The sequence below is a fragment of the Homo sapiens genome, chromosome 9 (genome assembly GCF_000001405.40).
Source record: "Homo sapiens chromosome 9, GRCh38.p14 Primary Assembly".
Taxonomy (NCBI): Eukaryota; Metazoa; Chordata; class Mammalia; order Primates; family Hominidae; genus Homo; species Homo sapiens.
This window is the reverse complement of record NC_000009.12, coordinates 68,381,927-68,409,708: the sequence shown is the minus strand read 5'-3', so window position 1 is coordinate 68,409,708 and position 27,782 is coordinate 68,381,927. Positions and strand designations below refer to the sequence as shown.

The 27,782-nt window shown below is 38.2% G+C and overlaps 1 protein-coding gene and 1 long non-coding RNA gene across 9 annotated transcripts in view; one reads left to right on the top strand and one right to left on the bottom strand.

Moving 5' to 3' along the window:
* PGM5 (phosphoglucomutase 5) overlaps window positions 1-27,782 on the bottom strand; it is a 174,451-nt gene that overhangs the window by 121,353 nt on the left and 25,316 nt on the right. For 3 of the 5 annotated variants that reach the window (NM_021965.4, XM_047423473.1, XM_011518783.4), the window contains exons 3-6: window positions 25,165-25,311; window positions 22,121-22,246; window positions 17,985-18,175; window positions 17,236-17,390 (exon numbers count right to left, since the gene is read on the bottom strand). In NM_021965.4, coding sequence (NP_068800.2) covers window positions 17,236-17,390; window positions 17,985-18,175; window positions 22,121-22,246; window positions 25,165-25,311 — 619 coding nt within the window. Of the gene's footprint in view, window positions 1-3,239; window positions 4,363-17,235; window positions 17,391-17,984; window positions 18,176-22,120; window positions 22,247-25,164; window positions 25,312-27,782 lie in introns of those variants that run through there. The other 2 variants (XM_024447573.2, XM_011518782.4) reach the window with 2 other exon arrangements.
* LOC105376070 (uncharacterized) lies at window positions 3,319-15,309 on the top strand. Of its 4 annotated transcripts, none has more exons than XR_007061563.1 (3): window positions 3,319-3,406; window positions 10,438-10,626; window positions 11,488-14,013. It is a non-coding gene; the product is annotated as an uncharacterized LOC105376070 (long non-coding RNA). The 4 variants fall into 4 exon arrangements; XR_929898.3 differs by lacking the exon at window positions 3,319-3,406 and adding an exon at window positions 15,270-15,309 and having other exon boundaries at window positions 9,709-10,626; window positions 11,488-11,661; XR_929899.3 differs by lacking the exon at window positions 3,319-3,406 and having other exon boundaries at window positions 9,709-10,626; window positions 11,488-11,661; window positions 12,967-14,013.

Below are 27,782 nucleotides of genomic sequence, written 5' to 3'. Positions count from 1 at the left end.
GTGATGTTCCCCTTCCTGTGTCCATGTGTTCTCATTGTTCAATTCCCACCTATGAGTGAGAACATGCGGTGTTTGGTTTTTTGTTCTTGCGATAGTTTACTGAGAATGATGATTTCCAATTTCATCCATGTCCCTACAAAGGTCATGAACTCATCATTTTTTATGGCTGCATAGTATTCCATGGTGTATATGTGCCACATTTTCTTAATCCAGTCTATCATTGTTGGACATTTGGGTTGGTTCCAAGTCTTTGCTATTGTGAATAATGCCGCAATAAACATACGTGTGCATGTGTCTTTATAGCAGCATGATTTATAGTTCTTTGGGTATATACCCAGTAATGGGATGGCTGGGTCAAATGGTATTTCTAGTTCTAGATCCCTGAGGAATCGCCACACTGACTTCCACAATGGTTGAACTAGTTTACAGTCCCACCAACAGTGTAAAAGTGTTCCTATTTCTCCACATCCTCTCCAGCACCTGTTGTTTCCTGACTTTTTAATGATTGCCATTCTAACTGGTGTGAGATGGTATCTCATTGTGGTTTTGATTTGCATTTCTCTGATGGCCAGTGATGATGAGCATTTTTTCATGTGTTTTTTGGCTGCATAAATGTCTACTTTAAAGTTCATATGGAACCAAAAAAGAGCCCGCATCGCCAAGTCAATCCTAAGCCAAAAGAACAAAGCTGGAGGCATCACACTACCTGACTTCAAACTATACTACAAGCCTACAGTAACCAAAACAGCATGGTACTGGTACCAAAACAGAGATATAGATCAATGGAACAGAACAGAGCCCTCAGAAATAATGCCGCATGTCTACAACTATCTGATCTTTGACAAACCTGAGAAAAAAAAAGCGATGGGGAAAGGATTCCCTATTTAATAAATGGTGCTGGGAAAACTGGCTAGTCATATGTAGAAAGCTGAAACTGGATCCCTTCCTTACACCTTATACAAAAATCAATTCAAGATGGATTAAAGACTTAAACGTTCGACCTAAAACCATAAAAACCCTAGAAGAAAACCTAGGCATTACCATTCAGGACATAGGCATGGGCAAGGACTTCATGTCTAAAACACCAAAAGCAATGGCAAGAAAAGCCAAAATTGACAAATGGGATCTAATTCAACTAAAGAGCTTCTGCACAGCAAAAGAAACTACCATCAGAGTGAACAGGCAACTTACAAAATGGGAGAAAATTTTCGCAACCTACTCATCTGACAAAGGGCTAATATCCAGAGTCTACAATGAACTCAAACAAATTTACAAGAAAAAAACAAACAACCCCATCAAAAAGTGGGTGAAGGACATGAACAGACACTTCTCAAAAGAAGACATTTATGCTTTGTTCTAAAGCATCTGCTTGAGCTCTTCCTCGAGTCAGCCCACCTTGGCTCAATGGCATGCCTACCTGCAGCCACACCCCAGCCTCTGCTCTGTGATCTCCTCTAGGAGTTGGCCCTTGATGGAAATTTCCTCTTTAAATCCAAACGACCTTATCCAAATCTCACATTTCACATTTCTTCACGCTCACATTTCTCAGGCTCCTAACACCCACCTGATTTGATAAGAGTCATGTAAAGAAACCCCATCTGGGGGGAAATGTCCACCTTTCACTTCCCAAGTCTCTCCCTAGAGTACCAGTGAAATTGACTAATGGCTTTGCAGATAAAGGGACTCCAGGTGATGTTATGAATTTTTCTGAAGTCATTATGAAAGCAAAAAAACAGCCATAATAATGATAAATTGGGGTTGAGATGTTAATTGTTAAAGAAAGTAGCCGGTGTTATATTAGTAACAAAGGAGTCCACTTTCACAAATCTCTCCTCTGTCCTCTCATGCCAGTGCACAGGTATATCAAAGAGCAATTCTTTTGCTCAGGATGTTTCTCTTATTTCACTTTTGCTGCTTTTGGCTGAACTACTAAACAGGTTATAAAATGAACAAATGCTCACAATATGCACACAAATCACATTATATGTTTTAATGGGATGTGTGGGCAATACAAAGTCAAACCCCTATTATCAGAAGTAGTGGTAGGGATAAACATTTCAGGTCTGTTTGGGGGTTTGAGGCTTTTGGCCAGCATACAGAGACACAGATGTGTTATAAAAGAAACTCTGTATTTTCCCAGAAAGATAATTTTTCTAAAGAGATGGGACTTCTAGGGTCCTATATGTGTTCTATGGGAGCACCTAACAGAGGGAACAGTGAATTTTCATGTGTTTTAGAGGATATTAATCAAAAAGTACGGATCAAAAGGCAATAGGGGCTGGGCATGGTGGCTCACGCCTATAATCCCAGCACTTTGAGAGGCCGAGGCAGGAGGATTGCTTGAGTCCAGGAGTTTGAGACGAGCCTAGGCAGCGTAGTGAGACCTTGTCTCTACAAAAAATAAAAATAAAAAATTAGCCAGGTAGGGTGGTGCATGTCTGTGTTCCCAGCTACTTGGGAGGCTGAGGTGGGAGGATCACTTGAGCCTGGAAGTTCATTGTAGTGAGCTGTGATTGTGCCACTGCCCTCCAGCCTAGGCAACAGACAGACCCCTTCCCCACCCCAAAAAAACGTACGTCTATTCCTAGGTCACTAACTGAAAGGCTCAATATATGAATACATATTTTTAAAAAGCTAAAGAAAATTAACAATAATTATTTACAAAGTAATCTGAAAAACTATAAAATAGAGATATGTGAGGTTCACACAGCAGAGTCCTCTGGAAGCTCTGATGGACTCTGAAATGTGAATATACACAGCAAGAAAGCACCCCTGCCTCACTAGTATCCACATGTGGAAGACGGGGCCTGAGCACAGCCACTGGCCAACATTTAGTCCTTAATGTGGAAGCACGGGAGACTACTCATGAGAATCCACTGCCTATGCTTCACTCTCTTATCCATAAAGCCCCATCGCCATGACAATAATAGCTAACTTCATTGAACGCATACTGTGGACTGGCACTGCTGTAAGCACTATATACATATATATATATATATATATATATATATATATATATATATATATATACATATATATATATATATACCTAATTTAATCCTCAGTACAAGACCCTGTGCTATGGTTTGAATGTTTATCCCCTTCAAAATTTCTGTTGAAACTTCATCCCTAGTGTGGCAGTATCGAGAGGTGGGGGCTTTAAGAAGGGATTGGGTCATGAGGACTCTGACCTCATGAATGGATTAACTCATTCATGGATTAGTGGATTAATGAGTTACCATGGGAGTGGGTCTGGTGGCTTTATAAGAGGAGGAAGAGAGACCTGAGCTAGCATGCTCAGCCCCCTCACCCCCTGTGCTACCTTGGGACTCTGCAGAGTCCTCGACAGTAAGAAGGCTCTCACCTGTTATGCCCCTGGACCTTGGACTTCTCAGCCTCCATAACTGTAAGAAATGAATTCCTTTTCTTCATAAATTACCAAGTTTCAGGTATTCTGTTATAAGAAACCAAAAATAGACTAAGACACCCTGAGAAGTTAGGTAAACAGCCCAAGGTCATAAAGTCAGAAGGCAGAGGAGTTAGAATTCAACCCCAGGTAGTCTGAATGCAGAGGCCAATAAAGGTCAGCGAGTTCCATGTCCCACTTCGTACATGAGCTCATTTGAGTACACTGGCAGACATAAATGCTTGCTTTTCTTAAACTACATTCCCTGTCTCTCCCTCCCACCCCAAAATATAGGTAGTAGAATCTGTGTGAGACAATCTTTATGAACAATGTCATCATGATTTAAAAACACTCCCCAGCTCTATCCTTGAGATTCACGCTGAAGCCACGGACCTCCCTGAATCTAGCAGAACACCTTACACAGAGAATATTAACACATTTTGTTGGCAGTGAAGTTTGCTAAAGGAAAAGGGAACATGGAAGGGAAGATGAGCTCCATCAGGAATATCCAGTACCATGCAGTGTGCTTGGCACACAAAAGGGGCTAAAAAAGGTTTTTGGAAAATGGAAATGTGAGAGGTAGGCAAGGTGGGGAGGAAGGGAAGATAAGAAAAGAAGGAAGGAAGGAAGGAGGGAGAAGGGAAGGAGAAGCGAAGGGAAGGAGGGAGGAATAGAGATGGAGGGAAAGGGTGGGAAGAAGGAAGAAAGGAATAAAGAGGAGAGGATGAGAAAGAAGGACAGATGGCTACTTGAGCACATGCAAAGGTCAGAGGCAAGAACCACTGTTCCAATTTGAATACCACTGTCAGTTATTAGTGAGTCTCAGACTATTTGCAGGGGTAGGAGGAGGTAAGAAGAAGGTCCTGAATTCCCCCTCCAGAACTGCACCCCAATGGACTCACCTAGATCATACCCCTTTGCCATCAATTGGGTCCTAATTACTGCAGTTACTCTTTCTGGAAGGAAAAAAGAAAGATCTTGCTTTGGAGGACAAATGTATGCATTCTTAGTCATTTAGTTTGGGAAGGAATGACCCTCCTCCTAGCTCTACCTAATGAGGGGAAGGAGGCTTAAGACTGTCAGTCTATCCCATCTTCTATAGTCCCAGAGAATCAATGAGTCAGTGAAAGTACAAACCCCAACCAAAGTCAAGACTTGAGTTGATGTTTTCAGTTTCTTCTTGGAAAGAAAAGCTTTGTCTTCCATCTTCATAGACAAGCTGGTGTAAGAGCATGGGGTCTAGAAATCCTGCAGACACTTGCTACCTGGACCAGAAAGTCAGAGGCTCAGAGCCTAGGGATAAGAGTGATACCATCTAAGGCAAAGCAGACAAGAGGGAATACCAGGTCAAATGGTAGTATCATGTGAGCTGCTGGATCACGGTTCACCTGAGGCCAATCTACTTCAGTTATGTGGGCCAACACATTCCTTTTGCTATTTAGGCCCCATTTCAGCTAGTTTTCTCTAATTTGCTGCACAAAGATCCCAAGTGATATGATCTCTCTGTGAGTCCTGGTGGATCTTGCATTCTTAAATACAGGCATCAACTTACAAGGAGTTTTCCCTCATGCCAGAATATAAACCACCAATGCCATCAGGGACTCTAAAAGAACTTGGAACTCCAAATGACAAATTTAATCGTCAGGCAGCAACCTGATCAGAGATGAGATGACTGGATTCCCAGGTCTGGATTCCACCCTCACCTGTGTAGGGCATATAGATAGGGCTGACAAGATTTGTTTTCATTTTTTCCTAGGCTCGGGCATCTCATATCCAATTGCTAACATATTATTTACTAGAGGATCTCATTGTACTTAATTGATATCTTTTATGTTTCTGGTCATCAGTGTTGTCTATCTCAGATTTAAAACTTAGGCTGGGCGCAGTAGCTCACACCTCTAATCCCAGCACTTTGGGAAGCCAAGGTGGGTGGATCACTTGAGGCCAGGAGTTAAAAACCAGCCTGGCCAACATGGCAAAACCCTGTCTCTAGTAAAAATACAAAAAAATTAGCCAGGCATTGTGTCACATGCCTGTAATCCCAGCTGCTCGGGAGGCTGAGGCATGAGAATTGCTTCAACCCAGGAGGCAGAGGTTGCAGTGAGCCGAGACTGCACCACTGCACTCCAGCCTGGGCAACACAGCAAGACTTCATCTCCAAAACAAAACAAAACAAAACAACCTCTAGAAGGAATCATACCTGCTTAACCCACTTTACCCAGAATATAAGGGAGAAAAGCTGCCGAAGCCTAATAAATACTTTTTAGTGCAGCTGCTGCTGATGATCTTCAAGCAGATCCTGAGGCAAAGATGTAAATTTCCAACCTTACCTTGAACTACGGTCAACATTTTCCTGGAAGTCTTAAGTTAAAGCCAGGACTGCTTCTTTCAGAGTTTTACTAAACAGTAGTGATATTCAACGTCAAAATTACAGATGTATTGGGTTGAAATTAATTCTGCTTATCTGATGTCATCTACCACCTTGGGGGTAATACAGGTCTCTCTCCCTACCCCCACCCCTACCCCCACACCAACCCACACGAATGACTTTCACTCGGAGTATAATCAGAACTTTTCCTGCCCTCACAAATAAGGAATAGTGAAGAGATTATGAGGCTTGAGCCAGATAATCTGGTACCAATATTGACTAATTTATTCTGTGTGACCTTGGGCAATTACTTAACATCTCATCATCATATTTTTCTGTAAATACAATGTCAATAATAGTGCCTGCCTCAAATACTTCTGAAGGTTTGTATGACAATCAAACAACATACTATATAACATAGTGGTCCCCAACCTTTTTGGCACCAGGGACCGGTTTTGTGGAAGACAATTTTTCCACAGACTGGGGGAGGAGGATGATTTGGGGATGATTCGAGAACATTCCATTTATTGTGCACTTTATTTCTATTATTATTACTCTGTAATATATACTGAAATAATTATACAACACACCATAATGTAGAATCAGTGGGAGTCCTGAGCTTGTTTTCCTGAAACTAGATGGTTCCCATCTGGAGATGATGGGAGACAGTGACAGATCATCAGGCATTAGATTCTCGCAAGGAGCATGCAACCTAGACTCCTCACATGCACAGTTCACAGTAGGATTTGCTCTCCTATGAGAATCTAATGCTGCCACCGATCTGACAGGAGGTGGCACTCATGCAGTAATGCTCACTCACCTGCTATGTGGCCTGGGGTTGGGGATCTCTGCTGTAATAGAGTTCACTTGTAAATAAAAATGCTTTCCTGAGCACACAAAACTTTCAGGCAGCATCTTGATTCACCCTGCACATGTATCTTAGATACTATCTTTCCCTCAGCATGACAGGTAAAGTGAAATCAGTGATATTTAGCAAGCATTTAAGCAGTATTTCAATAGACCCAGCTCAACACTACCCTAGAAAGTTGAAGCTGAAATCCATTTTAAGACTTTTTTGGTGGGGAGAGCTACAAAATACATTTTGAAATATAAAGCACACACAAGAACTGCAATGCTCTTTCACTCCAGAAGTACCTTCAGGCCTAAGATGACTTAACATTATCCTCCTTCATTTTAAAACGTTGTCAAGCACCAAACTTCTCTGGTGGCTTCACAAAGCATATGATTGAGAGTTAGGCTGGGCTAAACTACCTTCCTTATATCTTTTATATCACCAATAAATTTGACTGATGACTGATATCTGAAAACCTCCAACTCTGTAAGTTATGTCTTTTCCAAAGACAAGATTGCAGGCTATATATTTATGTCCTGGTTCAAACAAAAAGGAAAGCAGTAAACAGTGATTCCAGAGACAATTCAACTCACCTGAACCTAACCAATGTTTATTGGTGGTCTAGTAAATACAAACCTCTATGCTGGGAACTAGAGTCATTCAAAGAGAGCAATGATTCTTGCCCCTAGTCAGAAAAGAAGTTCCAAGAGAGATGCTTTGTTTTATTTTTAAATAAATAGAGTTTGATTATTTTTATCACCTTTATCAAGGTATAGTTTATATAAAATAAAATTCATTACTTCTTTTTTTATTTTTTTGAGAAGGAGTCTCACTCTGTCACCCAGGCTGGAGTGCAGTGGCAGGATCTCAGCTCACTGCAAGCTCTGCCTCCCAGGTTTAAGCGATTCTCATGCCTCAGCCTCCCAAGTAGCTGGGATTACAAGCCTGCGCCACCACACCCAGCTAATTTTTGCATTTTTAGTAGAGACAGGGGCTTCGCCATGTTAGCCAGGCTGGTCTTGAACTCCTGACCTCAAGTGATCCTCCTGCCTCAGCCTCCCAAAGTGCTGGGATTACAGGCGTGAGCCACCGCGCCCAGCCAAAATTCATCACTTCTAAGTGTACAGTTTCATGAGCCTTGACAAATATATACACACACACACACACACACACACACACACACACACACACATATATATATATAGCTGTGTAACTACCACTGTAATCAAGATATGGAACATTTTTATCAGCTCAAAACATATACCTCATGCCTCTTTGCAGTAATCAATGGGATTGATTTTTAAATTGAATAAGTATTTTAAGTCACAAGGAATAAAAGAGAGAGGTTATTTAACCAAATGTAGCCTCGGAAGACCAAAATTGAGATTACAAAGGCAGGCCATGAAGTTAATGTTCCCGTTGGAGAACAACAGCACGCCACATGTTCGAGACTGGGTGGCACTGAGACTGGATGGCATTGAAACCCCAGTTTAAAGTAGCCTTGAATCCCTAATCAGACAGGGCGATTCTAAGGAGCTTCTTTCAGTATTGGATCCATCCACCACTGGTCAAAGTGACTTGTTTAGACCAAGAAGGGCCACATCGTTGGGAGGGCTGAAAATAGGCTGCTGGACACCCTAAATAACGACAATGCCCTTCCCGAGACAGAATCTGAGTATCAAAGAGTCCTCACAAATACAGCAGATAAAAGAGAGCTGACTTCCAAAAAAGGTTCGTCTTTCAGTTCTCATGGGAGAGTGATGACGACTATATATTTTAGCACTTGGGTTACTTAACATTCATCTAAGTGTTTTTCTGACTAACTCAGATAGCAGAAACCCAAGATGGCTCAGAAAAATTGAATAAAAGATGATGCATCCAGCATTTCCAAGAGGATTTAACCACTATCTCCAAATCTCCTACAGTTTATAGTCTTAAGTGTTAACAATTTATTCCTCTCACTCTAGCCAGTTTAATACATAAATGCTTTTTACCAACTACAGGCCTGAGATCACTTTCCCATTAGACACCAACTCTTAGAAACACACAATTACAGACTTGAACCAGTCTCAGCATCCTTTCCAGTAGGTCAACACACAAACCATAAAGGAAGGCCACCTTATGCGTCTTGTAAATGCCTTGGTAATGAATCCAGTCCTCATTCAATTTGCCAGGGCAAGGAATAAACAACCTTGCGCTTAAGTTCAGGCTGTGGGGAGTTCATTATCGACTAGGAAATAACTACAATGCAGTTGCTTCCTTTCATCTCACATTGATTAAGCTGTATTTGCTAAGAGCGTCAGTACCCACATATCATTACTAAAAATCCAACTCATTACAAACTCACCTAAATGTAAACGAAAACCACAAATCAGGCATAGTTTTATTATATCCAAAGGAGATTGGGTCATTATGCACCATTCATTTTCTTCTTATTAGTCAGGTATATTTTTCTTTGCAATCAACAGATAGTATCACCAGATGTCTCTTTGTAAAAAAGTCAAAAGAAGCATGTTGATAGCTCATAGTAGTTAACTTTTTGAAATATCTGTTGGGGTGGAGGGAACATGGTATCAAAGGACTTACTGAGAAGGGGATGCTTGACTCAAGCCATAAAAGATAAAGAAGAACAAAGTGGAATGAGGTGGGGCAAAGGGAATACATTTCAGGGACAGAAGTGCATGCAAAGGCACAGAAATGTGAGGGCATCAAATTTGGGAAACTGTAAGCAGCATGACATGTTTAGAGTGCAGGATAAGAATGTCTGCAGGAGTGAAGTGTTCATAATCAGGAGATTATGCGTGTTCTATAATCAGGAGATTGTGCATGTTGTATAATCAGGAGACGGAATCTCCTGCAGGCATTCAAAGCCCACTAACCCATTTTAAACAAGGGAAGAAAATGCGTGACTTTCTGCTTTAGAACAACTGCCCTTGGGACAGTACAGAAGAGGAAATGAAGAAGAGGAAGTCTAGAGGAAGTGGGAACAGTTTATTGACTATTACAATAGTCCAAGCAAAAGATAATGAGAACATAAAGTAGAAAAGGAAATGTAGGAATGGAGAAGAAATAACAATTTAAAAACATTTAAGGGATCCTTCTAACAAAACCCAGTGATTAGTGGTACATCTGGAATGAGGGATTATTCCAAGGTTTATTATTTAGATAATAGGTGACTCATGCAGAGACTAAACACAGGAAAAACAATTTTCAGGAAAAATTAGAAAAGTTGCTATTTATACATGTTAAATTTGAGTTGTCTATAACAGATCTGTCTACTGATAACAATTTGGCTATCGAACTCAGGAGTAAAATTTTGTCTAAAGATAAAAGATGAAAATTAGAAGTGCCTAAAACTGACAACGGGTCTGGTATCTAGATCATCCAAGGAACTTCCGCAAATTCATCAGACTAAAAAGAAGAACCCTAAATAGAAAAAAAAAAATGGTCAAAGGACAGGAATAGGCAATTAATAGAAAAGGAAACTCCCAAATTTCTCAAGCATATGAAGAGATGCTTAAGCTCATTAGTAATGTGAGACATGAAAAATTAAAATTGCAATGGTATGTTACTCTCTATCTAGTCTACTGGATAAAAATTAGAAAGTTAGACAACATGAAGTGTTGGCCTGGATTTGAAGATGCAGGAATTTAGAGACTGGTTGGAGAAGCAGGCAAGAGATGGGCATTCTGGAGTGCAATCTGACAGTATTTGGTTAAAATTGACTAAATTAAGTATAGACACCCCCTCTGGCCCAATAATTCTGCTTCTGAATACACGTGTTGAAGAGATTCTCACACATATCCACAGGGTGCCTGTGCAGCAGTATTCACTGTGATAGGAAGTGAGAAGCAGTCTGAGTGTTCATTGCTGAGGGAATCAAGGGCAAAATATCATGGATGCACTCATGGACAAATAAGCAGCAGTTTGAAGCAACAACCTAGATGGATGTACAGCCATCAAGAGGATCTTAAAGTGTGGTCTTTAGTGGAAAAAAAGGTAAGAAATCAAATACAATCTCTTATATAGTACTAGTCACATTAAGTAAAAATATATGCAAAAAATATATACACAATACCCAATAAACACATTTTTTGTGGTTGTCTATGGTGGGGCAGTCAAACAGAGAGAAAAGAAATGCATTATCATTTTTAAAGTAATAAGAAATGAGCCTTCAATCAGACCAATTATTAAAGGATTGTTCAACGATGAGTATGATTAACTCAACTCTCTATGCCTGAGGTCCAAAAAAGAGGGAAGAGGGTGAGACTAGGAGATAAGCAAGTAGAAATAAGCAAAAAGATGGGCCATTGTGCCATTTATGCTGGTGGCTTTTTGTCCCCTTCTACCCCAAAGTCCCCACTTCATCAAATGCCCTGTTCTCTTCCCCAGGAGGCAGAACTCCATAGGCTGCCCTCTGGCTTCCAGTGCAGTTTGGTTATAGGAGGCACCAGCAGGAGGTTGGAGGGTGAGAAGAGACAAGTTGGGGCATTTCTCCCCCCTGCCAAGTTCAGCTCTTGTCTGACAGCCCACTTTTCACAACTCCAGACCTCACTAGGCTGTGGTCACCCTGACCTCTCCCCTGGACCCTTCTTAGTCCTAGGGGTGTTAACAGCTTCCTGCTATTGCTGATGCTAAGGTACCTCCCCATTCCTTCTTGTGTTTTTTGGTTTCCTTAACCTCATCCGTTCCTTAGACCAGGTTATTAAGTTACAATTACTAAATTCTCTTTAGTAAGACCTTTTTGAGGGTGCCATCTCTTTCCTGCCTTGATCCTAACAGAATCAGCTATACAGAGTTTCAGGGCAAAAACTTACAGGATAAAGGGCTTTCTTCTTTTTTTCTTTTATGTTAATATAGGTTACATTTGAACATATTTATCTGCTAAAGCAAAATAATTCCCATCATTCTATAGCAGAAGCAATGTATGGGAGACTGAGTAATTACATATAAGCTCACATCACTATCTCTTCCACCACTGTCATCCATCATGACTGATCTGGGAGATGAAACAGCACAGATCTAAAGGACGTGGTAAGAATCGAGATCACCAGAGATCAGTAGATACTTGCATACTTGCAGGATTAACACTGTCTGGATTCCAACGATCAGCTGAGTATGTTCAAGATAAAGCTATAGTACATATTTTAGATTGGGGATTGGCAACAAATAGCTGTAGACTACCTTCTGAGGAATAAGTGTTTTCACATGTGTGGGTGTCATTTCTAATCCCAGCATCACAGTCAGGTCCAGATACCTGTTTCTGATCTTTGGTCCTATGCCTAATCTCCTCCAAGAGTCCTTCCCTGGATCTCCTATCTAAGCAAGATGCTCGATGCCCACCAATGAGTACTGCACCAAGTTCATTTCCACTAGCCTGTGTTACAATTTGTGTTTCTGTATGTTTCCCTTACTTGTTATTCTTTGTCTTCCGCATTAGACTGAAAGCACTGCCACGGGGACCATGTCTAGGACATAGGAGGTCCTTAATAAATATTTCTTGAGTGGATAAATGGTGAACCATAGGGGTGGCATAAGAGCAAATAGAGGGTAGATGAGCACTAATCCATTCACCACCCTGTTTATGGGTGATGGATCTTGGATGGCCTTTTTCATAGTCAAAACATACTTTTTAGATCTGGCTTCTTGGGATGTATTCAAGGATGCTAGCCATGTTTGAGACTGTAAATATGTCTAGTGAATAGGGCTTCAGGCTGTGTGTGTTTGCCTTGTTTTGCACAGAATTCGGCACAGCCCCAAGCACAGATGGGTGCTTCATAAATATTATGGAAGGATGATGACACAAAAGATTATTTAATACCTCTACATGGGGTGGAGACGGACCTCAGGCCACAAACATACTTTCAATGTGTTTTACTTCTGAAATCATTTGAACCAAAATGTTTCAGCAACACAGATTCATCTGCAACCACAAATCAGACACATTCAGAATGACAAAGCCCCAAAAGAATGCCATTTTCAAGGCTGAAACTGTATTATTCTGGGCTAAATGGAATCCTTGTTTTAGTGACACTGTAAGAGTAGAAATTAAAGACACTGAAAATCTTCCCTTGGGGAGCCACAATTATCTGTGAACAATGAAAGTTTGTCTGAATAATTCATCAGCCTCAAGGGTACAGGCCTCCCCTTATTCTGGAATCCCAGGAGTTTAGGCAAGTGTGTCATTTAATGGATCTCAACTGTGTCCTCAGTTGTTATTATTCCAGGGCCTGGCATTTATGGGCACATTCCTATAATTTTACTAATTAAAGAAAAAATAAGCTATATGGGAAACCACTGTCAAGGTCGAAATTTTGAAGCTGCATTGATTTTACCTAGGAAGAAAGAAGCTTATAAAGTGTCCATCATGAGAATCCACCTGGGACCTACACAACAGATCAAATACCCAGAACAAATCACCAAGTCAGAGCCCCACAGAATTCTGATTCCCAACCAGCAAGCATGAATAATCCTTTTAAATGGTCACTTACATATCAGAACAGGTCCTTTGTGAAATTTCTAAGCAAGGCCTCTGGTTTCTGACTGAAACAGAGATTTATTGAGAAGGAGGGGTAAAGTGAAATCAAGAACTACTGGGAAATTTCCACAAGAAACAAGGACAAATGGTTTTTGTTGTCAGAATAAAACCAGCCTCCCCTAGCCATGGTTTGGAAAGTTATTTGCTAGCCCACAGGGGACAATATTCTCAACTGGTTTATCAGGGACCCTTTTGATCCAATTATAATTATTGGGCAGATACAGTAGTACCCTATTATCAGAAGACCTAGTTTCAAATCCTGAGTCAATTTCTAATTCACTGTGTGACCTTGTACAAGTCACTTAAGCTCTCTGATCATTGGTTCAACATCTTTAATATGAGGAGAGTAATACCTACCTCAATTACCTCATAAAATTATTGCAAAGATCAAGTGAGTTGATATGTTACAAATTATTTCTAAATTATAAGATTCTGTATAAGTGGAAGGGTTAAATATACTCCCATATTATTAAATACCCTACATATCACTCAGGATCCTATATGACTCTGAGTTCTCAATTTCTAGAAATGGTCCCATTTTTGCTTTGTTCCCTACAATTCTACGGAGTCTTTTTTTTTTTTAAAGGAAGGGTGTAGGCAAAGGTAAATGGGAGAAAACATGGAATCACATACCACTCTTTGGTGCTGCTAGGCAAGAATTTTAAACTGAGTTTAGTTCACCATCGTGGACTTAAGGTCCATATCACCTCAGGGAGACAAGTAGAGTGGGAGGCATCCAAAAGGTAGGTGATTCTTCTCCCCTCTAGTGAAGAATACAAGGTCAATTTACAAAAAAGCACCAGCAGCAAATAATTGGAAAATTAAATTCATAAAACATTCATAATAGCGTCAAAATAAAGAAAATACTCAGAAATAAATTTAACAAAAATTGTATAAGATCTCTACATTAAAAATTATGAAATACATGTAAGAGAAATTAAAGAAAACCTAAATAGAGAGATATACCACATTCATGGAATGGAAGATTCAAGATTATTAAAATACTATTCTCCCCAAATGGCTCTATAGATTCAACATAATCCCAATCAAAATCCCAGTAGGCTTTGGTAGAAATTGAGATGTTGGTTCTAAAATGAAATAAAATGCAGGGGACCTAGAATATATAATTTCCCTTTAATTTGACAAAGAAGAAAAACATATTGGGAAGCTCACCTAATTTCAGTGTAATATTTACATACGAATCAACAAATGGATCAGTGGTATAGAATAGAGAATGCTGAAAGAGATCTACATATATATGGTCAACAGATTTTTAATAATGGTGCCAAGGCTATTCAGGGGAAAGAAAATTCTTTTTTAAAAATGGGATTGGAAAAACTGGATAAGGGAAATAAGTGAACCTCGACCCCTACCTTATACCGTGCTCAAAAATTAATTCAAAATCATTCTAGACATAAGTGTAAAAGTTGAAACTGCAATGACTCTAGAAGAAAATATGGAGAAAATATCTCTCTGACCTTGGAGGAAGCAAAAATTTCTTGTAGTTGACAAAGACATATATAATAATCATATAATCCATTAATTATAAGAAAAATAAACTGGACTTCATCAAAATTTAAAACTTCTGCCCATTAAAAGATACTAATAAGAAGATTAAAAGTAGCCAGGTTCAGTGGCTCATACCCATAATCCCAGCACTTTGGGAGGCTGAAGCAGGGGGATCACTTCAGGCCAGGAATTTGATACCAGCCTAGGCAACATAGCAAGATCTCATTTCTACAAAAAATGTTTTTAAAATTAACTGGGTATGATGGCGCATGTGTAGTCCTAGCTACTCAGGAGGCTGAGTTGGGAGGATTGCTTGAGCCCAGCAGTTGAAGGTTACAGTGAACTATGATCGTACCACTGCACTCCAGCCTGGGCAACAGAGTGAGACCCTTTCTCTAAAATAAACAAATAAATAATTTTTATGTCATCTGAAACTAAGATCATACTGAAATTTTCCCTCAGTGTCTCCAGAATGTCTTTTTTGAATGGTTTGCCCAATGTAGTATCTCATTTAGAACCACGTGTTATGGCCCTTCAGTATTTTTTTGTTGTTGTTGTTGAGACAGAGTTTCACTCTTGTTCTCTTGTTGCCCAGGCTGGAGTGCAATGGCATGGTATCGGCTCACTGCAACCTCTGTCTCCTGGGTTCAAGCGATTTTTCTGCCTCAGCCTCCCAAGTAGCTGGGATTACAGGCATGCGTCATCATACCTAGCTAATTTGTCCCATAGAATCTCATCTTCTGGATTTTGTGGCTATTTTTTCATGGTGTTGATTCATTCATAAGGTAAAATTTATATACAGTGAAATGCATCTTATGGGTACAATTCAATGAGTTTTGAAAAGTGTGTACATCCATGTAACCACCACCCAGATTAAGACACAGAACATTCCCGTCACCTCAGAATGTTTCCCGGTGCCTTCTTCCTACCCCTCATACAGTAACATTGTAATAATTTCTATTGCCACATATATGTTTACCTGTTCTGAAACTTCACAGAAATGGAATTATATATTATGTATTTGTTTGTTACTGGCTTTTTATCATTTAATATTTTTTTATTCATCCATACCCACTGCATGTGTCAGTATTTCATTCCTTCTTGTTATTGTGTAGTATACAAATATATAAATATATCACAATTTATTTTTGCAATCTCCTGTTGATGGACATTTGTATTGTTTCCAGTTATTAGCCATTATGAATCATGCAACTATGTATATTATTATACAGGTCTTTTGTGGACACATCTCCATTATTTTTGGGTAAATATTTAGGAATGGAATGTTGGTCAGCTGTAGGCTCCATTTTACAAGAAACTGCCAAACTGTCTTCCATTCTACACTTTTGTTTGCAATGTATGAAAGTTCTGGTTGCTTCCTATCCTAATCAACATTTGGTGTGGGACTACAGGAACATGCCACTACACCTGGTTGATTAAAGAAAATTTTTTGTAGAGACAGGGTTTTGCTCTATTATCCAGGCTGGTCTTGAATTCCTGGCCTCAAGTGATCCTCCCACCTCAGCCACTCAAAGCTCTAGGATTACAGGTGTGAGTCGCCACGCCCGGCCAAAATTTATTAATTGGTAGTTGGCAATTGTTGATGGAAAAGAAAAAGCAGGTTACAAGCAATGTGCTTTTTGATGTCTTTGGTATTATCACAGGCAAATAAATTATATATGTATATATATTATGTATATTATATTATGTATTTTAATTATATGCATATAATGTATATGTATAGAAAGAGATACAGTAAGGAATATAAGTTTTTCTATTAACATAGGTAACCCAAGGTAGGGGATATGATATTTACATTCTCTTATTTGTGTTTTCTAACTTTCCACCAGGCACATACACTGTTTCTATAATAACACGTGCTGGTTGAACATGTCAGACTCTGAAATTCAATGTTTTATAATATAGGGTGATAGACAAGAGGGATGGATAGAGCAAGAAGAATGAAACCTAATAGGGTTAGTTAGAGCCCTACTGAGTGAATCTCTTGTTGGGTATTTTCCATGCACTGTCTCGTTTCATTCTTACAATAAACCTATGAAGTATCATTTTTCTATTTGTACAGTGCTAATAAGGCTATAAGTTAGCATTTGAACATAATATAATCTGACCTCAAAACCCATGCTTTTTTTCCCTCACTTATACATACACACTTTCAGGTTAATAAGTTCTGTTGCTAAACATTTATGTAGTATTTACTATGTACCAGGCACCATGTTAAATGTTCTACATGAAGCACCTCATTTGTACTTCATGACAATCCATATAAAGATACCACTATTATTATCCACATTTTACAGATAAGAAAACTGAGGCACAGAGACTAAATAAGTCTAAATTCCCACAGCTAGTAAGTGGCAGAACCAAGAATTAAGCTCAGGCCACCTGATTCTCCAGCTTCTACCCAGTACACTATACCGTGTTCCCATGCTTTCAACGCATTCCCAAATGGAGCAGGGGAGAATAAGCGCCAGCAACCAACAAAGGAGACATCAACGCCAAAGGTCTACCATAAAGTTTTTCACGGTGACATCCTTGCTTACCTGTCCAGGGCCATGCTGGTTGGCATACTCCTCCCAAACCCGCGGACCCCCATCTGACGGAAATATGGAATGCAAGAGAGGTTGGCAGCAATGATGGCCAGGGAGTCAGAAGGGCTCACAAAGAAGCCATTTTGGCCTAGGATCATATAACGGTCCTGTAGGAAGGAATGCGTAAAAATGATCGGACAGAAGCATCTGCTAGCAGCCCATTCCCATAATCATCACAATCCACTTTACTGCCATCTTATATTTAACAATCTAACAACTTGAATGAGGCCAAAGAGAACATGGGAAACATTCTTCGAAATCTCTGAGTACCAAGGGCCCAGAATCTTGACACACCAGGAATATGTTCCACCTGTTGAAATGTGGCTCAAGCTTTAGAAGTCCCCAAATACCTAACTCTTTCTTTCTCCCAAACATAATAGAGAACACTGGTTCTTGCAGAAATAGCTGATTTCTTAACTTGGTGCTTTCAACAACACCAGCCATAAATAAAGGTTTATGGAATAATATATATTTTTAAATAAACAACCTTTGTATGCCATAACGTAAATCTGGAACTAAGAAAAGTAATCGCTATTTAATTGCAATACTTAGTCATTAAACAGAAGGGCAGATGCAGAGCCAGTTAGGGCACACATGTCCCATACATGTTAGCTCCAGATGTGTTCATTAATTCTCTGCTTTCCAGTGCATGGCTCATTATATGATCAAAGGGTCAGCAGACAGACAGCTTTCCTACTTACCCCATCAGCATCAAATGCAGCTCCAAATCCATATTCTCCTCCTTTCATTGCTTCCAGAAGAGTCGTTGCATATGTCAGGTTTGGGTCAGGGTGCTGCCCTCCAAAGTCTTCCAGGGGAACACAGTTTATTGCAGAATTGGCTGGGGCCCCCAGCTCATCACACAGAACTTTTCTCACATAAGGTCCCATAACTAAAAATAGATACACAGCAATATTAAATATTTGCAGAACCTTCTCCCCAGAGTATTTTGTTCTGAATAGTACAGGAAACACCATTTAATAACCCAGAAGAAAAACATAAATTTACAATCGTTTTAAAGATACAATATAGAACAATATTTGCTTGAACTACTATTTATTGAGCATCTACTATGTGCCAGTTACTGTGGTAGGAATACAGAAGATGTATTCAGTCATCTAGTTCCATAAATTTTTTCACCTGAAATTTTTCTAAAAGGTTGCCAGAAAGAAATCAGCTACATAATAATGATTCATTGTCTGTTGCTTTTCATGTATTAAAAGTTTTAGCTGAATATATGCAAAAGCATTAAAGGGCTCTAGCAATGTTCTTTGTCTCTGCAATCATTTGGACTCTGCCAAGTATATAATTAAACACTATAAACCACTGAAGCATATAAAAACAAGCACATTTTACCAAAATACATGCCAAGGAATAGTATTTTCCAGTTCAATGAACATTATGGAGTATGCAATATGGAGCTGCTCTGCTAGGAAATGAAGGGATCATATTGAAGGGATGCAAAGCACATAGTTTCTACATTCCTGGGCTTGTAATCTAGTAGTGGGATGAGTCAAAGCTGCAAATGAATGACTGCAGTGGTAAGACTAAACAATGCACATTGATGAAATAATTATATCCAATGGCTTCAGAGAAGCAATAACCACACATAAGGCTTCAAGGAAGAAGCAGCATTTCTGGTGGAACTTGACGGAATAATATAAAGTTGGCAAGTGTTTGGGTTTAGAGTGGGAAGCCCATCTAAATCGAAGGAACATTATGAGCAAGGGAACAGAGCCTGAGGTAGAACATAAGGCACATCTGTGGAACAGCATGTAATCCTCCTAGCTGAAATATCTGAAAGATATTGCTTTCCACTTATTTTCCACCAATACAACACACAATCCTCCAATAGTGAACATCTCTTGATTGTGCCTGCCCAGCACACATTTCCTCTTCCTCTGGATACAGCATTTGGGATTTGTTTGGAGAAAAACTCTCTTCCCCATCTCAGTTCATGGGGTCTGGGTATGGCTAAATCCCACCTCCCCAAGGCTAAGGAGGTGACCTATGTCTGCGCAATCAGCGTCCTCCATCTTCTAGCCAGAGCAATTGATTCAAAGATGGACATACAATATAAACCAGGCAATGAGGCTGAAACCCAGAAACATTGCTCATACTATTTGGAAAAAAAGCAAAGCTGTCTTCCCTGTAGGCCAGATAATGCTAAGGCAAGAACCTGAAAGTTCTTTTCCTGAGGAATATGATCAGCCCAACAAGAAAGAACAGAACAGCCTAGCCAGAAGCCCTTAGAGTAAGGCCCATGGAGAAGACCCATAGCAGGCTCAGAGCTCCCAGCAGATTTTTAGTGCCTCATTCTTAAATATGCCAGAAAGCCAAGGATCACCAAAATTTTGAGGAATGTATTTGAGATGAGGTGAAAATAAACAAAAAGTAAAGAGAAACCTGGAGGAAACAAAAATTATACAGGGAAAAGAAAACTTTTTAAAATATATCAGTAATATCCTAATAGAGATTAACAAGATAGAGTAGAATGGCTAAAATGGAAAAGACTGACAGTACCAAGTATTGGTGAAGATACAGGTAAACTGGAGCCCTCATGCATTGCCAGTGGTGCAAATGGAACAGGCATTTTGGAAAATGATTTGGCCGTTTCTTATAAAGGTAAACATACACGTATCATATGACTCAGCAATCCCATTCCTAGCTGTTTACCCAAGACAAATGAAAACATACAGACTTGTTCACGAATGTTCACAGTATCTTTCTTTATAATAGCCAACAACTAGAAGAAAAAGAAATCTAATTTTCATTAACCAGTTAATGGATAAACAAATTGTGGTATATCGACAACACAATAAAATTGTACTCAGCAGTAAAAGGAACAACTACTGATACATGCAACACCAGGAATGTATATCGAAATTATTATGCTGAGTGAAAGAAGCTTGAAGCAAAAGGTGACATATTGTATGCTTCCATTTACATAACTTTCTGGAAAATGCAAAACTATGGGGGCAGAAAGCAGATGAGTGGTTGCCAGGGGCTGGGGATAAGGGGAGAGGTTTGACTACAAAGGGCTGCCAAAAGCTCTTTGGGGTGATGGAAATATTCAGTCTTGATTGTGATAGTGGTTACATGACTGTATATGTTGGTCAAATCTTATCAAACTGTATACCTACCAGGAGTGAGTTTTACTGTGTATAAATTATACCTCAGTAAACCTAAGTTTAAAAAGATATGGTATCCATGAAACATAACTAGGATGCGTTTTTACAAGAGAGAATCTTTGGAAAATACAAACAAAAGTTTTGGGAAATTAAAAATATAATGGTAGAACTAAAGGACTGGAAGATAAAGTCAAGGAAATTTCCCAGAAAGTAGAACAAAATAAAGAGATGAAAAACTGGGGAGGAGAAGGGGAAATAGAATAATTAAAGGATCAATTCAGTAGTAAAAATAACCAGAATGGTTACTAAATAGTAATTCAAAAACTTTTCCAGAATTAAAGGACACAAGTGTTCAGACTGAAAGGGTCCATCAGGTGTCCAATATAATAAAGATAGAGTCCCACACTAAGATCCATTATTGAAAAACAGAGGAACACTGAAGATAAGTCAAAGGTCCTAAAAGCTTCCAGAGAAGAAAAAGGAAAGACAATGGATTAAAAATCAAAATAGCACTGGATTTCTCAAGTTTAATATAATAGCTATAACACAGTAGAGCAATGCCCTCAAACTTCTGAAGAAAAATAATATCCAACTTAGATTTCCATATCAGTCAAATATTAATCAAGGGCAAGTGTAGAATAAAAGGCCTTTTCAGATATACAATACACAAAATATTTACCTACCATGAGCTTTCTCTCACTGAGTTCCTGGAGAATGTGTTCCTCCAAAATGTACGAGTAAATCAAGGTGTCAGACAAAGAAACCAGGGAACAGGACATTTAACATAAGAGATGTGTAAAAAGAATTACTACCATGGTGATAAAGGGAGATTTCATGATGACAGCATGCTCAGAGAGCAACCAGGGCAGAGTGGGGCAGATCAAAGTCTCCAGGAAAATGAAGTGAAGGAAGATTTAGACACTAGCGGAGAGCTTGAGGATTAAGAGTGGTAAACATACTTGATTAAAAGCAAGCAATGAGAAAACAAGATAATTGCTGTTTCCAAGGAAATCAAAAAGTTGTACTGTAAAGGAAATATAATTATAGCATATTGCATGGCTCAGCAGTGTTGTGGTAATGTAAACACTAGATAATGATCTTACCAAACTGGTGATATAATTAGGGAAGCATGCTAGGATTCCCTAACTGGTGGGTGGAAAGGGTGGGTGGAGAGGTGGGTGGTGGGTGGAGAGGGTGAAAAAGAGCTGCAGCTCCAGTTCCTGTAGTATGAATTCAGTAATGCTCAAAACTGAAAAACCAACAAGGGTCTGTATATTCATAATATTTAATGATAGGGAGATAAATACAAAAAAGAAACAGCTGAAAAAATGGAAAAATTTAACTCTGGAAGGTAACAAATTGGGGGAAGATAGGAGTTGGGTACAGATTGTTTTCACAATAAATCTTGAACTATTTATTTGACTGTTTAAACTATGCCATGCATATGATCAAATAAATAACAGTTTTACTATACTCCACACTTGAACATGCATAGCCTCAAACTCATTTGTTCAACTTTTGTTTTCATTTACATCCAAAGACAGAAATAAGGGTCCTGAAGTTTTCCAGAGCATTCCAAATATCTGAACATACACATGTTGTGTGAATATCTATGAATCCAACTTTCCTCTTAACCTCTGAAACCCAACAGGTGTACAGGTCTCAATATTTCCTGCCCACTGATTTGGAGAAAATCACAAGCTTACCTCCGTGCATTGCGTCAATGCGAATCTTCAGTTGGCTGGGTCCAGTCAGCAAACCCTTGATGGCATGAAAGTCAAAGATGGTCCGAAGGAGGTTAAGATAGATATCCACTGGGTCCACTATCTCCACTAAAGATAGAAAAACAAAGGAAAATGTCATTGACTGTACCCATGAAAGATACTTGGAAGCATAAAAAGAATCACTACCTTAAGAGCATGAAATTCTGGTCACAAGCCCATCATATCCCTGCACATGATGTGGGAAGCGAAGTGCCCATTTGTTGACAAAAATCACAAATCAGGGCACAATCAAGATACTACAAGCTTTTCAGGTGCTCAATGGGTATAAATGATACCAAGTTATAAATTCTTCTTTGCAAGGAAAATATCAACCACAAGAATAAATTAAGATAAAAATGTGCCCTGTTACTCCTGCTCCCACTTTCCCTCCCAAAAAAATGCACACAGCACACATCTCAATGTTTAGAGGCATTTTGGCATATCCAGTTGCCTTTCTTGTGGGGGCTGGCCAAAGACTGACTCAGCTGGTATGAAACAAATCAGCAAGTGACCTCAGTAGTGACCCCTATTTTCCAAAAGCCATTGTGCCTACCAGATTCGAGTGCAGAATTGGTGATGAATATATTCCTGGGTTTGCGTGAAATCTCATTCATGCCCAATCTAGCACCCAATTTCCAAATGAATGGCAAATATCTAGAAGTTCTCATTAAACACAAATGCTTTCCAGTATCTAGCACCACCCAGTAACCAATAATCCAAAAAGTTTTATTCATTTATGTGACATACCAAAAAGCTCAGAATACATTTTTCATACTTGTCAATCAGTGTATAATTAATGCTCAGAAAGTACTTTTCCAAGAAGTAGTAAATCAATTCTTTAGGTGCTAAAATTTGTCCAGGAGCCCTGCTTTTTTAAATTCATAGCTAAATTTTGAAACTTACGTATATTGTTTTCAGATTTTTCAAATACATACTACTTTGAAACCCTGAAATACTTTTAAACTTGCACTGAAGATATTACCAACCCACTTTCAATAATTTTTAGTAAATCCAGGTGTGATATTTAATGGATGAGATCTTAATATGCCATATAATATTATTCCTTCATCTGATCAAATACATATCTAAAAATATTTTTTCTTACACTTAAGTCAATGTAATTTATGTGTTCATTCAAATATAATTATATTTGTAACATGGATACTTTTAAATTATCTTTTTACATGAGGAGCATAATAATCTATGAAGTAATTAAAAATTAACCTGTATAAAGTGTACACCTAACAATGGTTAAAATGGTAAATTTTGTTATGTATATTTTACCACCATAAAAAAATTAATCTGTAAGACAAAAGGTTATGCCCTGAGTACTTTGGAAGTTTTACTCACTCTACATTATAGGATAATGTTTTTGACAATTTCATTCTGGCTCTTCAATTCTTGAACCACTTGCCTAAATACATTTGGTATTTACAATAGGTAACACACAGTACCAAACAAATGTGAAAAACGAGGGAACAAGAAGTCAGTAAAAATTGAAAGTTCACATCATATAGTTCATGCTCTTGACACTTTAAAGTGAAATGCAAAGGAATTATTTGTTCCTAATTAACTCAAGCTTTGCTCAACACTTGAACCAGCAAGAATACAGCACATAAATTATCCCAAACGATTATCTCCAAATTCTTGGAAGCCAGGGAATCTCTCTACCTATCTCCTGGTATCAGTAACATTTTTAGAAAACTCATTCAACTAGCAATGTGGCTGCAGCAATGAGCCTGAATGAGAGCCCACGAAGATTCGGGTCTCTCGGACAACTATAAAAATTGTGAAGATGCCAAAAATAAGCCTAGTCCTTCCAACCATATGTAATCAGCATATTGAAATCATTTTGCTTAATATAATGTACCCCTTGCCTTTAATTGTCCAGCCATCCCATGCATGTGCACACATATGCCTATGCATTCTCCCAGCTAGATTAGCAAAAGCAGGCACTGTTGCTTCCAGTGAGTATCATGGCTCTCTGTAAATTTCTGCTCATTACCTAAGCAAACAACTGACTCAAAACTTCTCAAGAAAGATTTGGTAACATTGGGCAAATACTGTGACCCCCCACACAATCCATTTTAATCTTTTCTCTATCCCTAAAATATCACATGGACACAAACCAGGTATTTCCTCTTTTGGGCTAAGTTAAATTACTTCTAAAATGAGGATACCATCTTAACACAAACTGCATTCAAGCTTATAGAAGCACTAAAAAAGTAAAACATGTTAGATCTATTGCTATTCTATGCCTTCTAGGAAAAAGCAATATGATAAAATACAGGGGGAAAATGTATACATACATGTTATTAATGTTGTTGTCATATGGTCTAAAATTAATCTATAAAACAAAAAGCTATCTTCTGAATACTGTAGAAGTTATATTTGCTTTACAATATAAGATAATATTTTTGACAATCTCATTTTGGTTCTTTAATTTTTGAATCACTTGCCTAAATATATTTGATAGTTACTGAATTCCTTTGTAAAATCTCCTAACACGGTGCTTGGTATAGGGCAGGTGATCAATAATTATGCATTCAATAAGCTGATGCATAATTATTCCAAGCTTGGTTATGGCTTGGAAAAGAAACTCCTACCTTTCATGAGAAATTTAATAACCCATTGACTTGTTAGGTTTCTTCTTAACTAAGGCATTCCAGCATCTTCACCTTAATTGCTTAGACAAGTTTTGGCAATTCACAGCCTATTTTTGGAATGCTATAATGAAGTCAACCATAAAACTTTTCCTATGTTGAAAATGATATCGAGTTTGGGAAGTGGTTTTTGAAAGTTTCCAGTTCTGAATATCTTGGCTGCTCTCATGTCTTCTCTCTACACCATATTAAGTTTACACACATTTATCGAGTCACCCCTGAGATTAACAATGCAATAATTTTCATGAGTTTACTTCCCTACAGAAACCAGTCAGCCCCATCCACATAGTTACTCTGACTTCTTCAAAATAAAATCTCTGTTACCTCTGAATGGTTTGAATTTGTTTTCTAGGTCAAATTCTTGTCTTCCTAGTCGAGATAGGTCGATTCGGAGATCAGGACATATAGCATATTCCTCAATCGTTTTGCTGATTTGGTAGATTTTGTCTGAGACAACATCGGGTGCAGGACCTAAAATGTGAACACCAAAAATACATGTTTTTGAAAGTCTCGTGAGTTTCAAGCAGTGAAATGTTACCATCCTCCTCCACCAGGCAGAAAAAGATTCATTTGTTCTCTAAACAATGATCAATGGTTCACAGTTCAATTAGCCTTGATATTTCTTATACTGTACTCATCCACTATGGGGGAAATTTGATCAGCCTCACCTGTTCTATGTAGACTAACAACCCATATGTTTGTTTGTTTGTTTTAATCCACTTCTAAGCAATGACACATCTTTCCTAAAAATAGTTTCACACCTGCCAGGGAAACCTGGTTACGTAATCAGCTTTATTCAGGTTATGAGACACAAACAGGATATGCATTTGACAGAAGTGAGGGATTCCAGATTTACATGCAGCTTCCCCAGTGCATCTAGAAGAGGAGACTATGCTTTCTATTCCCAGCTCTGCTACCTAATTGATGTGTGAGCTTAGCAGGGTAAGTTAATTATTTTCCCCAACTCACAATCTCTAGTCACTTCCAAAATGAAGCTCAACTAAAAATATGTGATGCATTTCCTCGGAAGACCAAATTGACAAGTAGTATTAGACTTTAAATAAATTGAACATGAAATCAATACTTGTTCACCTTTTGGGGTTTTGCTTTTTTTTTTTTTTTTTTTTTACCTTGTATATCTTAATGCAAGCCATTTCAGATTTTTTTTTTTTTTGCAACAAGGTTGAGAAACAAATAAGTAGATTGAAAGATCTAAAGTATAAATGATCGCTAGATGTATAGATAGCTTTCTGTATGAATCTTACTTGTCAACTATACTGTAACTTTCTACTGAACAAAAATTGTTTCTTGATTTTTAAAATATCTCAATCCTTAGAACTGCATTGTCCAATACAATAGTTACTTGTCACATTTAGCTGTTGAGCACTTAAAATGTGGCTAGTCAAGTTGAGGTGTGCTGCAATTGTAAATGCACACCAAATTTTGAAGAGTTAGTAGAAAATGCAATCGATTGCATTAATAATTTTTATATTGATGACATGGTATAATAATATTTTAGATATAGTAGTTTAAATAAAACACAATGTGAATTTCACTTGTTTCTTTTCACTTTTTTAATGTGGCTACTAAAAATGTAAAGTATGTATGTGACTCACAATATTTTTCTGTTGGACAACGCTGCCTTAGAGTGTAGCACCATCACCGTATTCCAATACATGCTCATAAAAAAGAATAGCAATAGTCCTATTCTAGTAAGTGGGAGAGAAGACAGCCCAGAAGATTTTACCAACAATTTTCTTGTTGTGTGGGAAAAGTGAAGTCCTCAAAGAAATAAACATAGCCCTTTTCTTCACTCCTTACCATTTTTTACCCTTCACAAAACTTAAAGAATAGGTAGTCTTGTTTCGTTTTTGCATTATTTTATGCTTGCCAGATTATAGAATGCATGAATATCTCCCTCCACTCCCTACACCCCAGGCACCATACTATATTCTTTGGCTGTGTCCATCATTTTCAAGTCCCTGAGTTTTAATGCCAAAGCACACTGATTTCCAAAAGTAAAGAAAGTACTGTCTCTCTAGATAGTTGTCTATGATGCCATTCAACCATCCATGCTGATAACTTCAGAGTTCATCAACAACTTCTGAATTCCTTTTCAATTTCCAAGCTCCCTGATATCTTCCACTCCAATGACTTTCACCATATGCACACCAAAAATATGTACAATTATAATATATATTAAAATAATTGTTTTTTAAAGGATACGGCAAATCTACAGGCACTCATATAAAAATAAATTTTAAGATGCTAAAAAAGAATACCCAGAGATTTTAAAGTGCATAAAATAAATAAATGAAAAATGGAAAAGCTAAAAAGCTTTTTAGTTTGAGGTAGTCCCATTTATTTGTTTTTGCTTTTGTAGCCTGAGCTTTTGATGTGATATCCAAGAAATCATTGCCAAGGCCAATGTCAAATAACTTTTTCCCTATGTTCTCTTCTAGGATTTTTATGGTTTCAGATCTTATATTTAGTTCTTTATTCATTTTATTTCTGTGTATAGTGTAAGATAAGGGTCCAATTTCATTCTTTTACATTTTTGTTTTCCCAGGCACCATTTATTGAAGAGGTTTTTTTCTTTCTCCATTATGTCCTCTTGGTGCCCTGGTCCAAAATTACTTGACTATATATGCCTTGATTTATTTCTGGGCTCTCTATTCTGTTCCCTTGGTCTATGTTTCTGTTTTTATGCCAGTATCATACTGTTTTGGTTTTACTTTAGCTTTGTAATATAATTTTAAATCAGCAAGTGTGGTACCTCCAACTTTTTTTTCCTCAACATTGCTTTGGTTTTTGGGGGCTCCAAACAAATTTTAGTATTGCTTTTCTATTTCCATGAAGAATGTTATTGAAATTTTGATAGGGGTTGTGTTAAATCTGTATATTGTTTTTGGTAGTATGAATGTTTTAATAATATTAATGTT